This window comes from Homo sapiens, chromosome 6 (genome assembly GCF_000001405.40).
Source record: "Homo sapiens chromosome 6, GRCh38.p14 Primary Assembly".
Taxonomy (NCBI): Eukaryota; Metazoa; Chordata; class Mammalia; order Primates; family Hominidae; genus Homo; species Homo sapiens.
This window is the reverse complement of record NC_000006.12, coordinates 12,826,797-12,844,701: the sequence shown is the minus strand read 5'-3', so window position 1 is coordinate 12,844,701 and position 17,905 is coordinate 12,826,797. Positions and strand designations below refer to the sequence as shown.

At 38.9% G+C, this 17,905-nt stretch overlaps 1 protein-coding gene and 1 long non-coding RNA gene across 14 annotated transcripts in view; one reads left to right on the top strand and one right to left on the bottom strand.

The window, feature by feature from the left end:
- PHACTR1 (phosphatase and actin regulator 1) overlaps nucleotides 1-17,905 on the bottom strand; it is a 571,071-nt gene that overhangs the window by 443,136 nt on the left and 110,030 nt on the right. The gene's annotated exons all lie outside the window — the stretch shown is intronic.
- Nucleotides 9,949-16,107, top strand: LOC105374934 (uncharacterized). The gene is made up of 5 exons (XR_007059458.1): nucleotides 9,949-10,024; nucleotides 10,750-10,822; nucleotides 12,957-13,097; nucleotides 15,458-15,532; nucleotides 16,023-16,107. It is a non-coding gene; the product is annotated as an uncharacterized LOC105374934 (long non-coding RNA).

Sequence of the window (17,905 nt, the reverse complement as noted above, 5' to 3'; positions counted from 1 at the left end):
GCAGGCTCCAGAAGGCGGATGTTCCATCTAGTATTTCTCTGTGCTTTATAATGCAGTGTTTGCAGATAGTAATAAATTCTAACAGTTATTGAACACTTGCCTACCAAAATATAAACTCCCTAGAGCAAGGAACTGGTTTGTGTGCTTTACCTCAGTGTCCTGTACGCATAGAACTTTGCCCAGTACATCATAAAAGGCATCACGACCTGGGTGCCTTAACCTATATTTTCTCTGACCTCACAGTGCGATAGTTGCTCTTGTTAATGTTTTATTTTATTTATTTATTTGTGTTTTTTTGGGGGCGGGGGATAGGGTCTTGCTCTGTCACTCAGGATGGAGTGCGGTGGTGTGATCACAGCTCATTGCAGTCTCAACTTCCTGGGCTCAAGGGGTTCTCCTGCTTCAGCCTCCCAAGTAGCTGGGAGGACAAGTGTGTACTGCTACATTCGGCTAACGTTTTAAAATTTTTTGTAGCGATGGAATCTTGCTATGTTGCCCAGGCTGATCTCAAACTCCTGGCCTCAAGTGGTTATCCTGCCTCAGGCTCTCAATGTGCTGGGATTATAGGTATGAGCCACTGCGCTTGGCCTGATTCTTGTTAAATTTTAAATCTCATTTCATGTAAGAGGAACCTTGGGTTCAGAGACACCAACTAAGAAATAACTTTTAGTTTCATGTCTTCAAAGATTGACTCAAAGTGATTATTGCTCAAGGTCACGTAGCAAGTGAGGATAGAGCTGAAATTCACACCTATGTCTGTTTGACTTTAAAATTATTTTGTTTCTACTGCACTCCATCGATGCAAAGAAACAAATGACTTTTATGACCAGCTAAAACATTGTATACAAATATTAATACAGACTTGACCTGTTTTCAGTGAAGAGTAAAGGGAACTTTATTGATTGATAGTCTACCACATGTCATACCTACTATGAAGTCTGTTACTCATACCATCTCCTTCATTTAATGTCAGTTTACCATCTTTGAATATTCAAAGTTAACCATCTTTGAATATCTGCAAAGCTCAAGTTGCCCATGTGGGTCTGAAATCCTTCATCTTATTCTCATTGGCATTGAGAAGAAGTTGTCAATTTATGATGCATGGTTTAACACATTATTTATGAGGAATCAATGGTTTTCAAGCAACTGGTTTGCTCATCAGCTTCAAAAGAGATAGGTATTTCTAGGTAAAGCAATCTTTCTATCTGTTTATCTATTTATCTGTCTATACACACACACGTGCATAACTGCTATTTTCCACTCTCTGGGCTCTGCTCTCCCGACCTGCCACCCCCAGCCTTCAAGCTTCTACACCAGATTCTAGACCTCCTCATTTGTGTCTCCTTTTTTCCTTCTAGGCTGTCATAAAATTGTCACTGAAATGGGAAACAATGAAAAGAAAGTGAACCAAAAGACTAGACAGTTCAGGCACCTGCTGTCCAAACCTCCGGAGCTAAAGTCCTTATTGGAGCTACAGAAATAACTTTTATTTTCATGTCTTCAAAGATCAACTCAAAGTGATTATTGCTCTTAAGTAATAATAGAAAAGTTCTGAATATTCTCCTTGCTATAGGGAATTTTAACAAGAGAAAAGAGTCCTAGTTCCCACATTAAGATACTTGGACCATCAAAACATCAACTCAAAGTCTTCCTACATTCCAATGACAAAAAGAAACTGCTAAGAAAATGTTTCATTTAAGTAGCATATAAAGGGTAGATAAGTCAAATTGTGACCTCCAAAACAATTATAATTATGTGCTAGATGTCCATCTAATGGTTACATTGACATTCTTTAAATAATCAATAGGTACATTACATTAATGTTGATTTTGCAAGATTTAGAAAAAAACACCTTTAGGCCGGGTGTGGTAGCTCACACCTGTAATCTCAGCACTTTGGAAGGCCGAGGCATGGGATTGCTTAAGGCCAAGAGTTTGAGACCAGCCTTGGCAACAGAGTGAGACCCTGTCTCTAACAACAGCAAAAAAAAAAATCAGCTGGGCATGATAGTACTTGCCTACAGTCCCAGCTACTCAGGGGGCTGAGGTGGGAGGATCACCTAGGCCCAGGAGGTGGAGGCTGCAGTGAGCCTTGATCACACCACTGCACTCCAGCCTGAGTGAGAGTGAGATTGAGACCGTGTCTCAAAATAAAAATAAAAAATAAAAAACCTTTACTGTTTAAATGCATTGATTAAAATGTGTTTTACTATTTGAAATAATTTCAAAATTATAAATTACATCATTTCAACAGTTCATCAGTAATTTATGACATTGACCCATTGGGCAAAATTACACAGCCTCCTACTTACAACATTGTCCTTACAGGAAAATATGACACCCTTACTATCATATGTTTTCCCCAGTAACACTGGCAAAGTTGAAGACTGTCTATGTAGTGTGCCACACTGAGAGAAGTGATACTCATGAGTCATGAAATTATGCTTTAAATAATCAAGTTAACTGTATCTGAATAATGCAAATTACTCATTGGGATGTTTTCAGAAATGTTTCAATAGAATTTTTAAGGGTAAAACATAAAACAGGCATCATTTGTTCTCCTTATAGATTTTTTTCCAATGTTATTTTACAGATTTATTTTTATTTATTTTATTTATATATGCCTTATATTAAAAGGTAGAAAAACAGTTGTCTTAGAATGAATCTCCTTATTACTAGTGGCATAAAAATAACATGATTGTTTTGAGTGATGCCACAAACTTGTACAGATTCAAGATGAGATCAAAAGATTCTAAAGGGCCTTCTTTACCTTTTTTTTAAATAAAGGTGTAAGAAGCCCTTGGACAACTGAAATAAGCTGCTTAATTAAATGATAATATCATAGAAAAGAATATTGCCAGGGGTTAAGATTCCCACAACAGATACTGCAGATAAACCAGGATAATTATCAGAATGATTTTTGGTATAAACTTGAAATGTTTACTGTACACATTCTTGGCCAACTCTTTCAATTGTTTAAATAGAACACTGATTTTTAAAACTATCATTTCTAGTCTCCCTTTTTGATAGCTAGATAGCTACAGTAAACATTGAAATGCTGAATTATTCCGTTTGACTAATATTTCTCCCTGAGCATGCTGGAAATTTGATTTTCCATTTAGTCATCAGCATTTAAAAAATATTTCTTATCTTCCTAGTGATGTAACAAAAAAGAAAATCTTGATATCTGATGCTCAATTCATTTGTATAATGCTCTTCTCCTCTGCATTAGAAGTACATGGAGCTGAGATATTGTGAAGCCCCACTCATTTTCATCTTAATGAGAGTTTCCTAGAATTTAACAGGTTCAAGCTGGTGGCCTCTCAAATCATCCTAGTGCAACTATGGTAGAGGCACACTCTTTAAGTAGAATGATGTGATTCTGCACAGCAAACAACAAAAAGGAAGAGACAACACATTGGTCTAATGGAAGAAACAGGGTCTTAGGGTCAGGGCTTCATCTGACAGCTTATTAAATGTGTGACCTTGGATGTGTCATTTAACTTCTCCAAATCTCAGTTTTCTTATCTCATACCATAAGGAATTGCTGTGAGGATTAAGTGAAGTAACTCTACCCAAAGAGCTTAATGCAGTGCATATTATGCAACAGACAGTAAAAAAACGAAGTCAGTTCTTATATTTCTCACTGCTTTAATGCAGCCAGGAGACCCCGTCCTGCGGAGTGCCACTTTCGTGAGTTCCATGTTCCCACTTAGACTCCTATTTAAGGTTGTGCCCCAGCATGGCTGAGAGAGTGACCGTGCCATCCACAAAATCAACTCAATTGCTGAGTCTGTAGCAGTATGTCCTTATCAGCTCAATGCAACAAGCATCACTTAAATACTTCCTTCATGCATAGTACTCTCCTTTAAAGCAGTGATAATATCCCTGGAAATTTGAACAAAAAGAGCAAGAGAAAATGGTCACTACCTTTGAATAGACATAAATTTGGGGGTGGAGGTGTAGACCTATGTACTTTCCTTTTGGTAGAGATGGTGAGACTTGTGCTGATGTATGGGTATAGGAAACCTATGTCTAAATTACCCATTTCTATCTAGGATTTTACTGAGTGCTGCATCATAAGGTCCCAGAAAGTTCCACTGCTGTGATACATTGCTGTTGCTCTTCCTGGATGAGAGAGTGGGTCCAGGCAGCAATACAGAAAAGAGCTTCTGGCAGGCTCTCCTGTCTGGACTCTTTTTCTACAAGTCGATCCCTGGACACAGGCTCCACTAGCCCCTTTCTCATGAACACAGTCTTCTTTTCTGTTATGCTTAGGTTGTTAGCATGATGGAGCAAGTTAACAGAACAAATGGGCAGTATTTAAAGATAATAAGCTAGATATGCCAAGATAATGGCTTGACTAAAGCCAGTTGCTTTGCATTTTTAGATGAATTCTATAAAGATCCATACCATGCATTCTTGAATGAATTAGCATCAAAAAAGTATAAAATACAAATGGTTTATATTTTTGAAAATAATTTTCAAAGTCAGTGATCTGTAATCAGATCCCCTTGATCAGTCAGTCCCTACAAAGGACTCGCTGTGGGGTGGAGGGGGATGAAAAATATCCTGATTACTCCCTGCTGACTGACTTAAAGGGAAGGAATGATAGCTTGCTTGATGCCTGGGTAGCAGCAAGGATGGGGCAAGTACAGGAGCAAGGGCTGACACCATTCCTACATGACACCTACATAAAAACTCTGCTTGTGATTTCTCATCAATATCTAATTCCCCTACATTGGTGCTGGGAGTACTCTCTGAATAAATAAAAAAAAAGTATAAGTCAATGATCCTCTGTTCTTGCTTTATGGCCGTGTTCGCTCTACACTCTGGTCTTCTAGTCACAGGCACTGTTTTCACCTTCTGCGCAGCCTATCTTCACCACATCTGATCAAGGTGTGAAATGTTACTCAGCATCAGCATGCCATAGACAATTGATCTTACTTCATTCATTATAATTTAACGAACCGTGTGTTATGCATAAGGGCGAACTCACTGTCTTGTGTGTACATCTTGATCTGTTGGTGACCAGTATCCTGTTTCTGTTAACTGCATCAGACTTTGGAATCAAGTTGGGAGGATGAGGCTTGAGGAGACCAAGATAATCCTGGTACCCCTATGAGGGGTCAGTGGGACCAGGCAGAAGGAACCCAGCCCACAGGCCCCATGACATATCTAGAAGGGCCAGCCTACCTCAGAAGTAGCCTGGCTACTCTGCTTTATGGCATGACAAAACCTGACTTTACTGAACCCCACAAAGGACTCGCTGTGGGGTGGAGGGGATGAAAAATATCCTGATTACTCCCTGCTGACTGACTTGAAGGGAAGGAATGATAGCTTGCTTGATGCCTGGGTGGCAGCAAGGATGGGGCAAGTACAGGAGCAAGGGCTGACACCATTCCTTGGTCACAGATACAATGTATGCATCTTCAACATGCAGTCCTGTGACATTTTGAAAAGAGTATTTAGACCCACTGTTAGCCTTCTTATTTGCATCTTCAAGTTCCCTATTCCTCAAAGCAAATTCTGAGGTTCTGAGGTTGAACTTTTCTATGGTTAGAATCCAGGCCCTGCTACTTGCTAGCCATGTGACCTAATTCTCTCTAAGGCCGTTTCTACATTTGTGAAATAGAAATAATAACAGTTCCTTTCTTCCAGGGTTGTATTAAATTACACATATGAACCATTTAGAGTAAATGACATGCAGTAAGTACACAGTAAATATTAGCTAGTACCATCATCATTGGCAGCAGCATCAGCAGCAGCAACAGCCTTATAATTTAAAGACCCCAACATTTTCCGAAGACCCTAGAGACCAGAGACCTGAGATGCAGATAAGGCTTATCAAACATGGCCAAACTGCCCAGGCTGACTCACACCTGCATTAATGCCATTCTGCTTCATGTGGGGGTTGGGGTTATTTTTAACCATACTTAGGGGAACACAAATTCACAACCATTTTGAGGCTATTGAATGAAATTATTTTGTAGTGCCCATATTTCATGAGTGCTTTTGTACTCATTGATTTAGAGTTGCAATCATTTTCCAAACACATCCAACAAAATGGCATTAAAAGCACAAACAAGAGAACATGAGGGCCTCCCATTTTACGAAATTTTACTTGTTTATTTTACCAAAGACAACTTAACTTGTTATAAACTACTACTTTTAATATTTTCCAGCATGAATTTTCTTCTCCTATTTTATTTCTATGAAATTCTAAAGTACTGCCTTTAACTGAATAGACAAGATTTTGCTGGATAGCAGGGGTTATATATGGTCTTTCAATCTAGGAATCGAAACAAGGAAGGGTGGTGAGATAGGAAAGGAGGAGACAGGCATCAGATACAGTGGCATTAAACACAGACACAGTGCCTGGAGGAACCAGGCATCAGACACAACCAGGCTCCAGGTTGGCTTCTGTGATCCCTGCCTTCTGATTTTCATACCCTCATGTGACCCTTTTCTCTTGTGTGTGAGCAGGAACTGTGACTTGTTTTTACTCGGTATGTTATAGCCACGGGGACGGGCTGTCACTTCTGTAATTATACAATATAGGAAAACGCTTTCACTTGCTGGTTAATGCAGCTAGTAGCCGTGTTGGGGTGGCCTCTTGCCACTGAGGATCCTCCAGCTGACAGCAGGTGAGAAACCAAGTCCCTCAGTCCTACAACTGCAAGGAACTGAATTCTGCTGACAATGACATGAGCTTGGAAATGGCTCCTTCCCCAGTTGGGCCTTCAGATGAGAATGTAGCCCTGGCCAACACCTTTGCAGCTTTGTGAGACACTGAAGCAGAGGATCCAGCTAAGCCTGTGAGGTGATAAATATGTTGTTTTAAGCCACTAAGTTTGAGGCCACATTGCTGTGCAGCACTGGAAGACTAATACACATACCTATTACTGTCAGTCACTGGCTTGTTACTTTAACATATATATCTCTGTAGCACTCCCAATAATTTTGTGAAGGTTTTATCCACATTTTATAGAGAATGTTGCTGCTTAGGTTGTTAAAACTTGCCCAGGGCCACATAGCTACGTTGGGGTAGGGCTGCAATTCATAGAGAAAAAGAGATTTTTGTGGTTTGTTTGTCTCATTTAGGTAAACTGTGTTAAGTTGGACAAATGATATCTCTTCCTTATCTTTATTTTTCAGAAGTAGAATGGAAAAGATGCTAGATATCTGCTTAATTTTTTCATTACATTGGAACTAATAGGACTGATGAGACAATGCCTTTAAGAAACTCCTGGCTCCCTGGAGAAAGGCAGATAATATTTGAAATAATTTTGAAGATTTAAATTATAAAGTGAATTATTGAGGAGGTGCTTGCTTTCTTAGAACAATTCTCTCCTCTTTGTAACTAAAAGACAGTAATTTTAAAAGTATATAATTTATATCTCTAGCAATATTACACAGATATTATTTCAACTATCATTTCTAGAAATGGACCTTTAAGCTAAACGAGTCCAACTCTGGTATTTGTAATTTTTTATCATCATTCTTTACTGCATTGGTTCTGGAAAATCTGCAAAGACACTATTATAGGACCAACAGGTTTTTGTGCTTGCTGCACTGTAACAGACCAATTACACTGAGACAGCAGGGTTTGTAGCAGAGAAAGACTTTAATGATTGCAGGACACTGAGCAAAGAGATGGGAGGAAGCTCTCAAATCCATCTCCTCAAGGAGTTCTGGGCTGGTGTTTTAAAGAGGAACATAGAGGGGGAGGGGCTGGAAAATTGAGGTCATTGATTGGTTGGGGTAAGAGGGATGCAATCATCAGAATGTGGAAACTGCATTCCTTGATAAGCCAGCTTCTGGTGGGGTCCTTTAAACCAGCTGATGTCAGTAGTTTTACTGGCATGTAGGACCTGAAAGAACATCTCAAAGGGAAAACTTAACATTTCATGATGTTCAGGTTGTTATCTATGGAACAGTTAAAGGAAACTATAATTTTGTAGCTGGGTCTACATGATGCTAGGACAACAGGCACCAAACAACTGTGAGGAAGCAGGTCAGAGAGCAGCTGACCTAGCAATTAATGCTGAATGTGCTGCAGGCTTAGGTTATTTTTATTTTTTCTTTCTCTCTTCTTCCCTGATTAATTTAATAAAGTTTACAGGGACAGTTTCAATGATAGTCTGATTAGTACTTGAAGATGTCTTTTCACTTTCCAGTTCTCTAAATATTGCTGGAGATGTTCCATTCTTCTGTTTAGCCTAGTATCCTTTGTGCTATTGACATCAATAAAAGGATACAACAAGGGAATAATCCTGATAACAAATACTCAAAAGAATCCAAGGTTTTGACTTTGATTTCTTTAGGTTTACCAAACGGTGCCACCAAAAGAATTCAGGTAAATTGCTTGCCCAATGGAAAAAGAAAATCTTATTCCATCATTTGTCCTGAAATTGAAACTGAAAAAAGAAACAGAGTTGGCAGGAGAGAGAAGAGGGAGACAGCAGTTGAAACTCAGTACCAGGCTGATACTTCATATTTTAAGGCTCTGTGGGTGCACTTTCTGATGACTTTAGAAGTCAGGTGAGGCTGATGGCTTCCTTACAGGTTACAGAAAGCAATTCAAGCTGAAACAAAGTCCTCGGTACTCAGTTCAAAAGCATTGCAACCATTATTATTGTTGTTTTGTGGTTTTAAATAAAAGGCCATTATGTTTTACAGGATTTTATAAGGAAACAATGTGGGCACACTGAGGATTTAAATTTTTTTTTATTTTTGTTTCAAAAAAAATTTAAAACTTTGTGCTTTGCAGCTATTCAAAAACTGAGGATGAAATTAGTATATGTGAAATTTCATTTGCAGTTATCTTTAAGTATTTTCTTTTGTGTGTGTCCCAAAAACCTGAATCTTAATTTAGATATTTCCACTAAAAAGCTACTAACTTTTTATGTTACTTAACTTTTCTGATCCTCTTTCCTTGTCAGCAAAATCGAAATAAAACATCCGTCCTATCTACCTTAAAGGGTGTTGATAACATAAAACCATGGTGAAGAATAAACTATTGCATAAAACATAGCAAATTATTAATATTTAGTCTATCCCTATTCATACTTTCTTCTCTAAAATATGTCTTAAAATGGGTATCCAAAAAATGTGTGATATTAGTTGCTGGGAGGGAGACTTATTTCTCCTGAATACCCTTTTAAAACTATTGAATTTTGAATGACAATGTACAGTCTATTAAAAATAAGGAAAGAAAATTAAAGCCAATAAATAAGTGTTTAAAAGTATTTCCTCAACCGGCCTTTCTTCTCAAGGTCAAATCCTTCAGGCCTGTCGTACTGCAACAGTCGTCTCCTTGATTAAGGGTTAGGCCAGGGAGCGGTCCAACCCTCCTCTGAACTACCCACAGCTGCTCCCCAAGCCTCACACTCTGACACAGGTGTCCCCAGAAAAACCTCATTTTCCTCTCTCCACATTTTTCTCACTGCTGGAAAGGAAGAAATGTCTTTATAATGTGACCCTACCCAAGGTTCCCCACCTGACTTCTCACCTCTTACTCCAGGTTTGTCCACACTCAGTTCTACCTTCCACAAGAGGTCTGCACTCTCCTCAGGTTCTCTCCATTTGGGATGCCTGCCTTTGCTCTGCCAGCTCTTCACATCCCATCCAGGTCAACTCTTACCTCTTCTCTAGCTTTTCATCCTAAGCTCATTGCTCCCTTTTTCTGAATTATCTTCATTGTTAATTGGTTGTGAGGCACAAATAAATCATTTTGCCTTTCAAGCATACATTTTTACGAAGAGGGTATTTGAAGAGGTACAGATGCTTCCACCACTGATAGTAATCATTCTGTTCTAGGAGGTTCTAGAATGTTCTACATTGTTCTAGCAACCTATCAAAAACTAGTCACTTGAATCAATCCATATGCATATTTAAGCAGAATATATTGTATGGTGTTCTGAAGACAATATTGAGAGAAATATTTATTTGGACGTACACACTCTGAGTTTTGTTTTTATCTCATTACCTTATGACTCTGACTACTACATCTCTAAAATAGGGTAAACTATTTTTGGTATTAGGTTTTGCTTGTATTACTCAAGTTTTTGTTTCCACCCACTGCTATAGTTATCTGGACTTGTGTGTGCACCTGGCCATAGCTACATCTATATAAATTTTATTCACGGGTGCACATTTTGCATATACCTTTGTGTAGTTTAAAAATGTAAGTTATGTGCTGATACCCTTCCTTCTCTATTTTAACTTCTTGGATAACACTGCCATTTCACTTTATCATTTTAAACCTACTTAACTCTACCCAATCTGCAGAAATGTCAACCTAGAGAATCAGACTTCACAAGCTCAAACTCCCCAGGGAAGAAGGTTGAGACATTTCTACTCATATCTATAGATGTATTATGCCAATCAGGTCCCAGGGTTGACAAAATACAATTACTTCAGCCAAAGGGAACATATTTTTATTATCTTCCAGAATCTTTTGAAAAATAGTTATTGAGTACCTATGTGCTAGACATTGTTCTAGTGATACGCATCAATGGAAAGAATAAGTAAAGTCTTGTCAAATATCTTAGGGGAATGGGTGGGAATAAAAGCAGTGGACAAGTATAAAATTATGATTTCAGAGAACAATAAGTGCTATTGCAGAACTATAGCTGGTTGATCAGAGCCAAGAGTGACCATAGCCTACTGTCAGGATGGGGATCAGGAAGGTCTCTCTAAGGGGGGCAGCTCCAAACTGAGACCTTGATTTACAAAAACGATGCAGCTACAGGATAATCAGGGAAGACCACTCCAGCTGGAGGGAGTTACTGGTGCAAATGTCAGAGTGCCCAAGCATGGTAAGTACGGGCAGGAGTAGAAGGAGAGGGAGGCTGGGCCAGCCCAGGCACTGTCCACAGCAGGCTAGGGGATGGGATTTTATTCCAGTGTAGTAGGAGGCCATTAGAGGATTTATAGTTAAAAGTGTTCACCCCAGCTGCCCTATGAAGAATAAACTGTGTCCACATGCATGTGCATGTCCATGTGTGTATATGTAAGAGCGGAAGCAGGAGACCAGTAAATAACTGGGATGAGAAAGGTGATGTTTTCAAATACAATGAACGTGGTGATGAACATGGACAGAAGTAGATATTCAGATGTCATTCAAGAATTGGAGGTTTGGCCGGGCACAGTGGCTCACGTCTGTAATCTCAGCACTTTGGGAGGCTGAGGCGGGCAGATCACCTGAAGTCAGGAGTTTGAGACCAGCCTGGCCAACATGGTGAAACCCTGTCTCAACTAAAAATACAAAAATTAGCCAGGTGTGGTGGTGGGCACCTGTAATCCCAGCTACTCAGGAGGATGAGGCAGGAGAATGGCGTGAACCTGGGAGGCAGAGGTTGCAGTGAGCTGAGATCGCACCACTGCACTCCAGCCTGGGTGACAGAGCAGGACTCCATCTCAAAAAAAAAGAAAAAAAAAGAACTACAGGTTTGTGGAGCAGAGATTATCTAGTATATCAAAGATTCCTTAGATGTGCCCAGGTTTAACACGAAAAGGAAGCCAAAACCCAAGTAGCACATGGATAGTTCCTCTACATCACAGCATTCCAGAGGCAGGAGGCACCTCACAGTGGGAAGACAGTGAACCTCATAGGTGAAGTGACTTCTTCATGGACACACAATCAATTGGCTCCACAATTGAGACTGTCTCCTCATATTCTATCTACCTCACCAAATTTGGAACCATTGCTAATTTGGAATTTGCTCTTTTGATCACATTACAGTTGATAGTCTAAAGCTGCAGGTTGCTTATCTCATGTGTCCTAAGACTGATTGTGATGGAAAAGAAGTCAAATGTTTTGGCTCAGAGAAGGCATTTTAGCATTTAGCATATTATTCCACACCCCGTGTCTATTACTGATATATCTGTGTGCCTGACAACATAAGAGGAACAAAAGATGGGGGGTGGGGGCTGTTCTTTTCCAAATAACAGCTTAAAGGTCTGAAACTAAATTATTTATTGAGGCAAAGGGCTTTGAAACAAGCAATGGGGTAAGTGAAATCTTGAGCATTACACCACATTTAATAAAAACATTCCAATTTTGCTTGCTTTGCGACTTCATTGGCTTTCATATGAGAAGTTCTTGACTCCCTAAAGAGCTTAGTATTTGTGTCCCAGTTACCAAGGCCAGGTTGAAAAAAAACCCCAAAGTGCTTCCTGTTGACAAGAGATGAATTGTCTGATTATTCGAGACATGTTAGGCCATAAATTATTTTGTAATGCTTACAGTTCTAGAGCGGCTTATTTTTTGTTTTTTATTTTCATGCTACTGTGTGACAAATATGCTGGCCTAGCAATGACAGCAGCATTCTAAAGCTAAATGTATCAGAACATTCAGCTCAGTTTTACGGTATATGAAATGAATTCCATTTCAGACTCTTAGCTAACATAAGATGTTCTTTCCAAGTGTTCTCCCTATAATAAGTGCTGTACCCTGGAATTTCAGACTGCTATCTTGAGAATGTGGGAGAGAACCCCTAGATTTCACCATAGTTCTGATAGAGATGAGCATCACCTTAGTTGGCACACTCATTAAACCTTTTCAATGTCTACTTTTCATAATTTTTATGAGCCCAGGTCTTGTTCTGTCACCCAGGCTGGAGTATATTGGCACAATCATGGCTCCCTGCAGCCTTAAACTCTTAGGCTCAAGTGATCCTTCCACCTCAGCCTCCTGAGTCACTGTGACTACAGATGGATGTACCGTCAAGCCTGGCTAAAATTTTGATTTTTATTTCCTCCTCCATAAAATGAGGAGGGTGTTCAGATCACACAGTCTAAGATCCCTTTCCCAAGTCAAAATACACAGTAACTATTTTAAGAACTCATTAAAAATTGTGTGTGTGTCTGAAAAGACCAAGACCATATTAATGAGAAGTGTATTTTCCATCTCTTAGATTTAATCTTCTCTTCCCTTATATCTCCAAATAGCCAAGAAGAAGAAAAGTCATTACTGTATGAGCATTAACATAGGTGGTTCTAAATCACATCACAGCTGTCATTCTTGTTGTGTCAGTCAAGGAATCTGATGAAACATAGAACAATTTCAGACAGGCCAAGGCCTCCTATGAGGTAAGAAACACTTCGAGAGAAGCCACACTTGGAGTGTGCAATAGTGCAATGTGAATTTAAACAAGGGGGCAGACTTCTGACCCAGGCTGTAGGTCTTTCTATCCAAGTAGGGCCTGCATTTCAGCTACTGAGTTATGAAATAATAGATGACATTTTCTTCTATTTTAAGCCCATCCCTTGCTCTTAGGTCACTGAAGTGCAAACTGTAATCAATATGTACCTGAGGTCCTGAGTGACGGGTTCTTGTCTGGATGATTTTTCTCATTTGGGTACCATGATCCTTTCTATTTTCTAACAAACCTAATGTCTATAAAGTGCAAAGACTATAGACCCCAGTGTTCACATAGATTTCAAAAATGCATCGTAATTTCAATGTTCATTCATGTATTTGTTCATGTAGCCAGTTATCAATGGATATTTCTTGAGCAACTACTATGCACAGAGCAATGATTTTTAATAAGAAAACATAGAGAAATATTTCATCTTTATTTTCTTTTTCTAGAAGAAGCTCAAATACGATAGTTCTTTGATAACTTTGTATGTTGTAGGTTTCTGGAATTCAACTTTTTAAAATGTTAGGCACACAGTTCAGTTGATAGTTACTCTAAAAGCCAAGACTTCGCCACTACGCAATATATCCATGTAACAAAAGCATACTTGTACCCCCTAAATCCATAAACATTTTTTTCAAAATAAAAAAATTTTTTGAGGCCAGGTACAGTGGCTCATGCCTGTAATCCCAGCACTTTGGGAGGCCGAGACGGGTGGATCACCTGAGGTTGGGAGTTCGAGACCAGCCTGGCCAACATGATGAAACCCCATTTCTACTAAAAAAAAATACAAAAAAAATGAGCTGGGCATGGTGGCAGGTCCTGTAATCCCAGCTACTCAGGAGGCTGATGAAGGAGAATCGCTTGAACCCGGGAGATGGAGGTTGCAGTGAGCCGAGATCGCGCCACTGCACTCCAGCCTGGGCAACAAGAGTGAAACTCTGTCTCAAAAAAAATTTTTTTTTTTTTTGAAAATTAAAAATATGTATTACTCAGAAGAAATGAGTCTTCAGTTAGTATATCCTGCCCCTAGGTGATAATAGACTGGTGGGAAGGCTCTTCGGTTTCCCTCCCCCTCTCTCCTTCTAGTCATCATTTCTATTAACATGTTCAATATAGAATTCATCAAGGTGAGCTTAAATATGTGGATTCCATAAAGCAGAAAATGAAAGAAACAAGTACCTTACCATCAATGCCTTTTTCACAGCTTTTTTTTTTTTTCTAAAGCCCTTGAATCTTATCTTAAGGGCAATCCACTAAGGGAGTAGAGTAAGAGTCTGGGAACTCAGGTCCACTGCGTATCAAACTTGACTGGAGTTTTTAGTTCATTTTCAATTTTCAGCCTTCACTTAGTTGTGAATTAAATACATGGAGTGTCTTCAGTAAAGTGAAGATGTCTTTCTTTCTTTCTTTCTTTCTTTCTTTCTTTCTTTCTTTCTTTCTTTCTTTCTTTCTTTCTTTCCCTCCTTCCTTCCTTCCTTCTTTCTTTTCCTTCCTTCCTTCCTTCTTTCTTTTCTTTCCTTTCTTTCTTTCTTTTCCTTCCTTCCTTCTTTTCGTTCTCTCTCTCTCTCTCTCTCTCTCTCTCTCTCTTTCTTTCTTGACGGAGTCTTGCTCTGTTTCCCAGACTGGAGAGCAGTGGCACAATCTTGGCTCACTGCAACCTCCGCCTCCTGGGTTCAAGCGATTCTCCTGTCTCTGCCTCCCCAGCAGCTGGGATTACAGGTGCCAGTCACCACACCTGGCTTTTTTTTTTTGTATTTTTAGTAGAGACGGGGTTTCACCAGGTTGGCCAGCCTGATCTTGAACTCCAGGCCTCAGGTGATCCTCCCATCTCGGCCTCCCAAAGTGCTGGGATTACAGGCATGAGCCACCGCGCCTGGCCTCATTTTCTTTTATTATCTTTTCTTCATCTTACCCACTCCACTCATAAAATTGGAGCCTAATTTAAGATCTCTTCTGGGCTATTTTAAAGAGTTTCAACTACTAAACTCTTTCTACTGTTATTCCATACTCCAAGCCACTAATCCAGGTTGCCAGTCAACGTTTCTAAAGCATAGTAGTAATCAGATCACTCACCTACTCAAATACTTTCCAACGAGTTTTCATCACCTCCTAAGTCAAGCACAAAACTCCTTTGTCTTGTACCTGAGGCAACAATTTGGTCCCAAACTTCTCCTCTATGAAACCTAAGAGTTCCTCAAGGCTATGCTAGGCTGAGATACAACTTCATGTAAACAGTTGTTTCTGCTACTAGAAAGAGCTTTTTCCCTAGCCTCTATGCTGTTGTTTTTCTCTCTTTTTCCTTTACAGAAATCCCACTCGTGTGCACTGTGATCAGGCATTGCCTTGCTGTGATAATAACTCCCCTGGGCCGAGAGCTACAATGTATGTCTTGCTTCTATTCCAAATTGCTTTCTTGTTGTTGTTTTGTTTTGGTTTCATTATTTGCCTTTTATTTTTAGTTGGCACATAATAATGGCACACATTTATGGGGTACGGAGTGATATTTCAATACACGTGTATAATGTGTAATGAACAAATCAGGGTAACTAGGATACCCATCACCTCAAACATTCACGATTTCTTTCAAAATCCTCTCTTCTAGATTTTTGAACATATACAATAAATTGTTTGCTATATTCACTCTACAGTACTATACAACCCTAAAACTTATTCCTCCTATCCAGCTGTAATTTTGTATTCATTAACCAATCTCTCCGTAACCACCCCACCCCACTTCCTAGCCTCTAAAAACCATACAAATTGCTTTCTAAAAGAGCTTGTGTTTTTTTTTACAACGAAGCATTATTTTTCCCCAAAAATAATTTTTTGGTCGGTTTTTGTTTATTACAAAAGCAATACATTTTCATTCCAGAAAAAGAAAACGAAGATAAAGAAACAGAGGGAAACAGAAACCATCCATAATCCTACTCCTTCAAAGACAGCTACAGTCAAATTCTCATGTAACTCCTTCTCTTTTGGCAAGAATATTATACCCTACAAAGGTCTCTGGTGTGGATTTAAAATACTACAAGTCACCCAATATTACGAATAAAAGAAACAAAAAGAATAGAAATTCCACCATAGAGTATACTTGATATCTACTTCTGATGATTATTTTCTTATAAAAAGAACACATCCACATAATTTTACATCCTTCTATACAATCAAAATTTACTTTAATCTCTGTGTTTTCATGTGCAGTTTTTTATACTGAATACATATAAACACGCTATAGGAAATGTACTGTATAAGAATCAATGCTATTTAAGTAGGTAACTGCAAAAGTCAGTGACAATTCATAATTAGTGGGAAGAATAGAGAAGCAAAATGTCCCACTTTAAGCCGAGAATTTTATGATCTATAAATAAATCCTTTTGATGCATTGGCCTCATACGCAGCAAAATCACAGAGTGACAACTCTATTGCCTACCCACTCAGCCAACTGGGATTGGTTAAGGTTAGGTAGGTAATCAAAGCCCACAGCTACTTCTTTGTATAGGTAATTCTAGCTCTGATTAACCTGACAATCACATTCCAAAATTAAGTTTTTTACTGAAAAAGAAGGATGTTAAACAATTGCTGAAAACCAAAGTGACTAATGAGTATCAAAAAAGCCCAACAAGCCATAATTTATCCAAATATTCTATTTATTGCAAGCTTCACCCCCCCTCACCCTCACATAAGACAGAAAAGAAAGCTCTTCTTGTTATTTTCATATTATCATGTAATGTGGTTGAAGGAAATTACATTAAAATTTACTTCTGCTTTCTTTATATCATTAGTATGCTTGCCAAGGGCCAGTCTTTTCAGGAAAAGTGGACAATTTGAAGCTGGTATGTGCTTCCACAAAAATACTAGATTTTGTCAGCTCCAAGAATATCTGTCATAAACATCAGGTTCTGCCAATCCTAGTAAATTGGATTTGCATCTGTGTGAGGATATATGTTGCCTTTTTCATGAATGAAATACCTCTCTTGACTCTGTCTATTGACACTGATGTGGTGGTCATTTCAAATTATCTTCCAGAGGTAGATTCTCCATACACAGGCTTTCATTCACATGGATATATCTTAAAATAAGCAGAGCTGTATTACTTAAGTTAGAATGAATGGCATCTTTGGATTAGAAGGCCTTTGTGTAAGCTCTAAGAGGTCTACAAAATCTTTGAAATGGTACATAAAATGTAATGTTATGAATCAGTGCATTTTTCTAGGGATGGAGCTTTCATCATTTTTGCAATGGATTTGTGACCCCAAAATGTCTAAGAATACTTGCCCTACATTAAATACAATTGAGCGAATTTGCCTTCTCATCTATGTGGTGAAGTTATAGCAGCTATTTGGGAAGTTCTTATCTCTAAAGTAATTAAGTAAAAGATAGAAAAAGTCCTTTCGAGAAAACTCCGGGAATGTTAGCCAGCAACATTATCTCAAGATGGGTTGTTTTCTTAAATAATCAATAGCGTAATGACTATCAGCTTTATGCACAGAAACAACAAAGAAGGACGATAACGAGTGAGGGAAAGTGGGTATCCCACAGAATTGCAACAAGTGAGGGAAAGTGGGTATCCCACAGAATAAATAAAATTTGGGTGGTTATTAGGATGTTCTTAGCATTCAATTCTTAAGAGTGTTAAAATTAGTCCAATGGAACTCGTTGGTCCTTCTACAGTCAGTCAGGGTGTCGTGGAGAAAGTGATTCATTGAACAAAGCATGCCCATAATGAGTCCCAGGAGAAATCCCTGCTTGATCTTC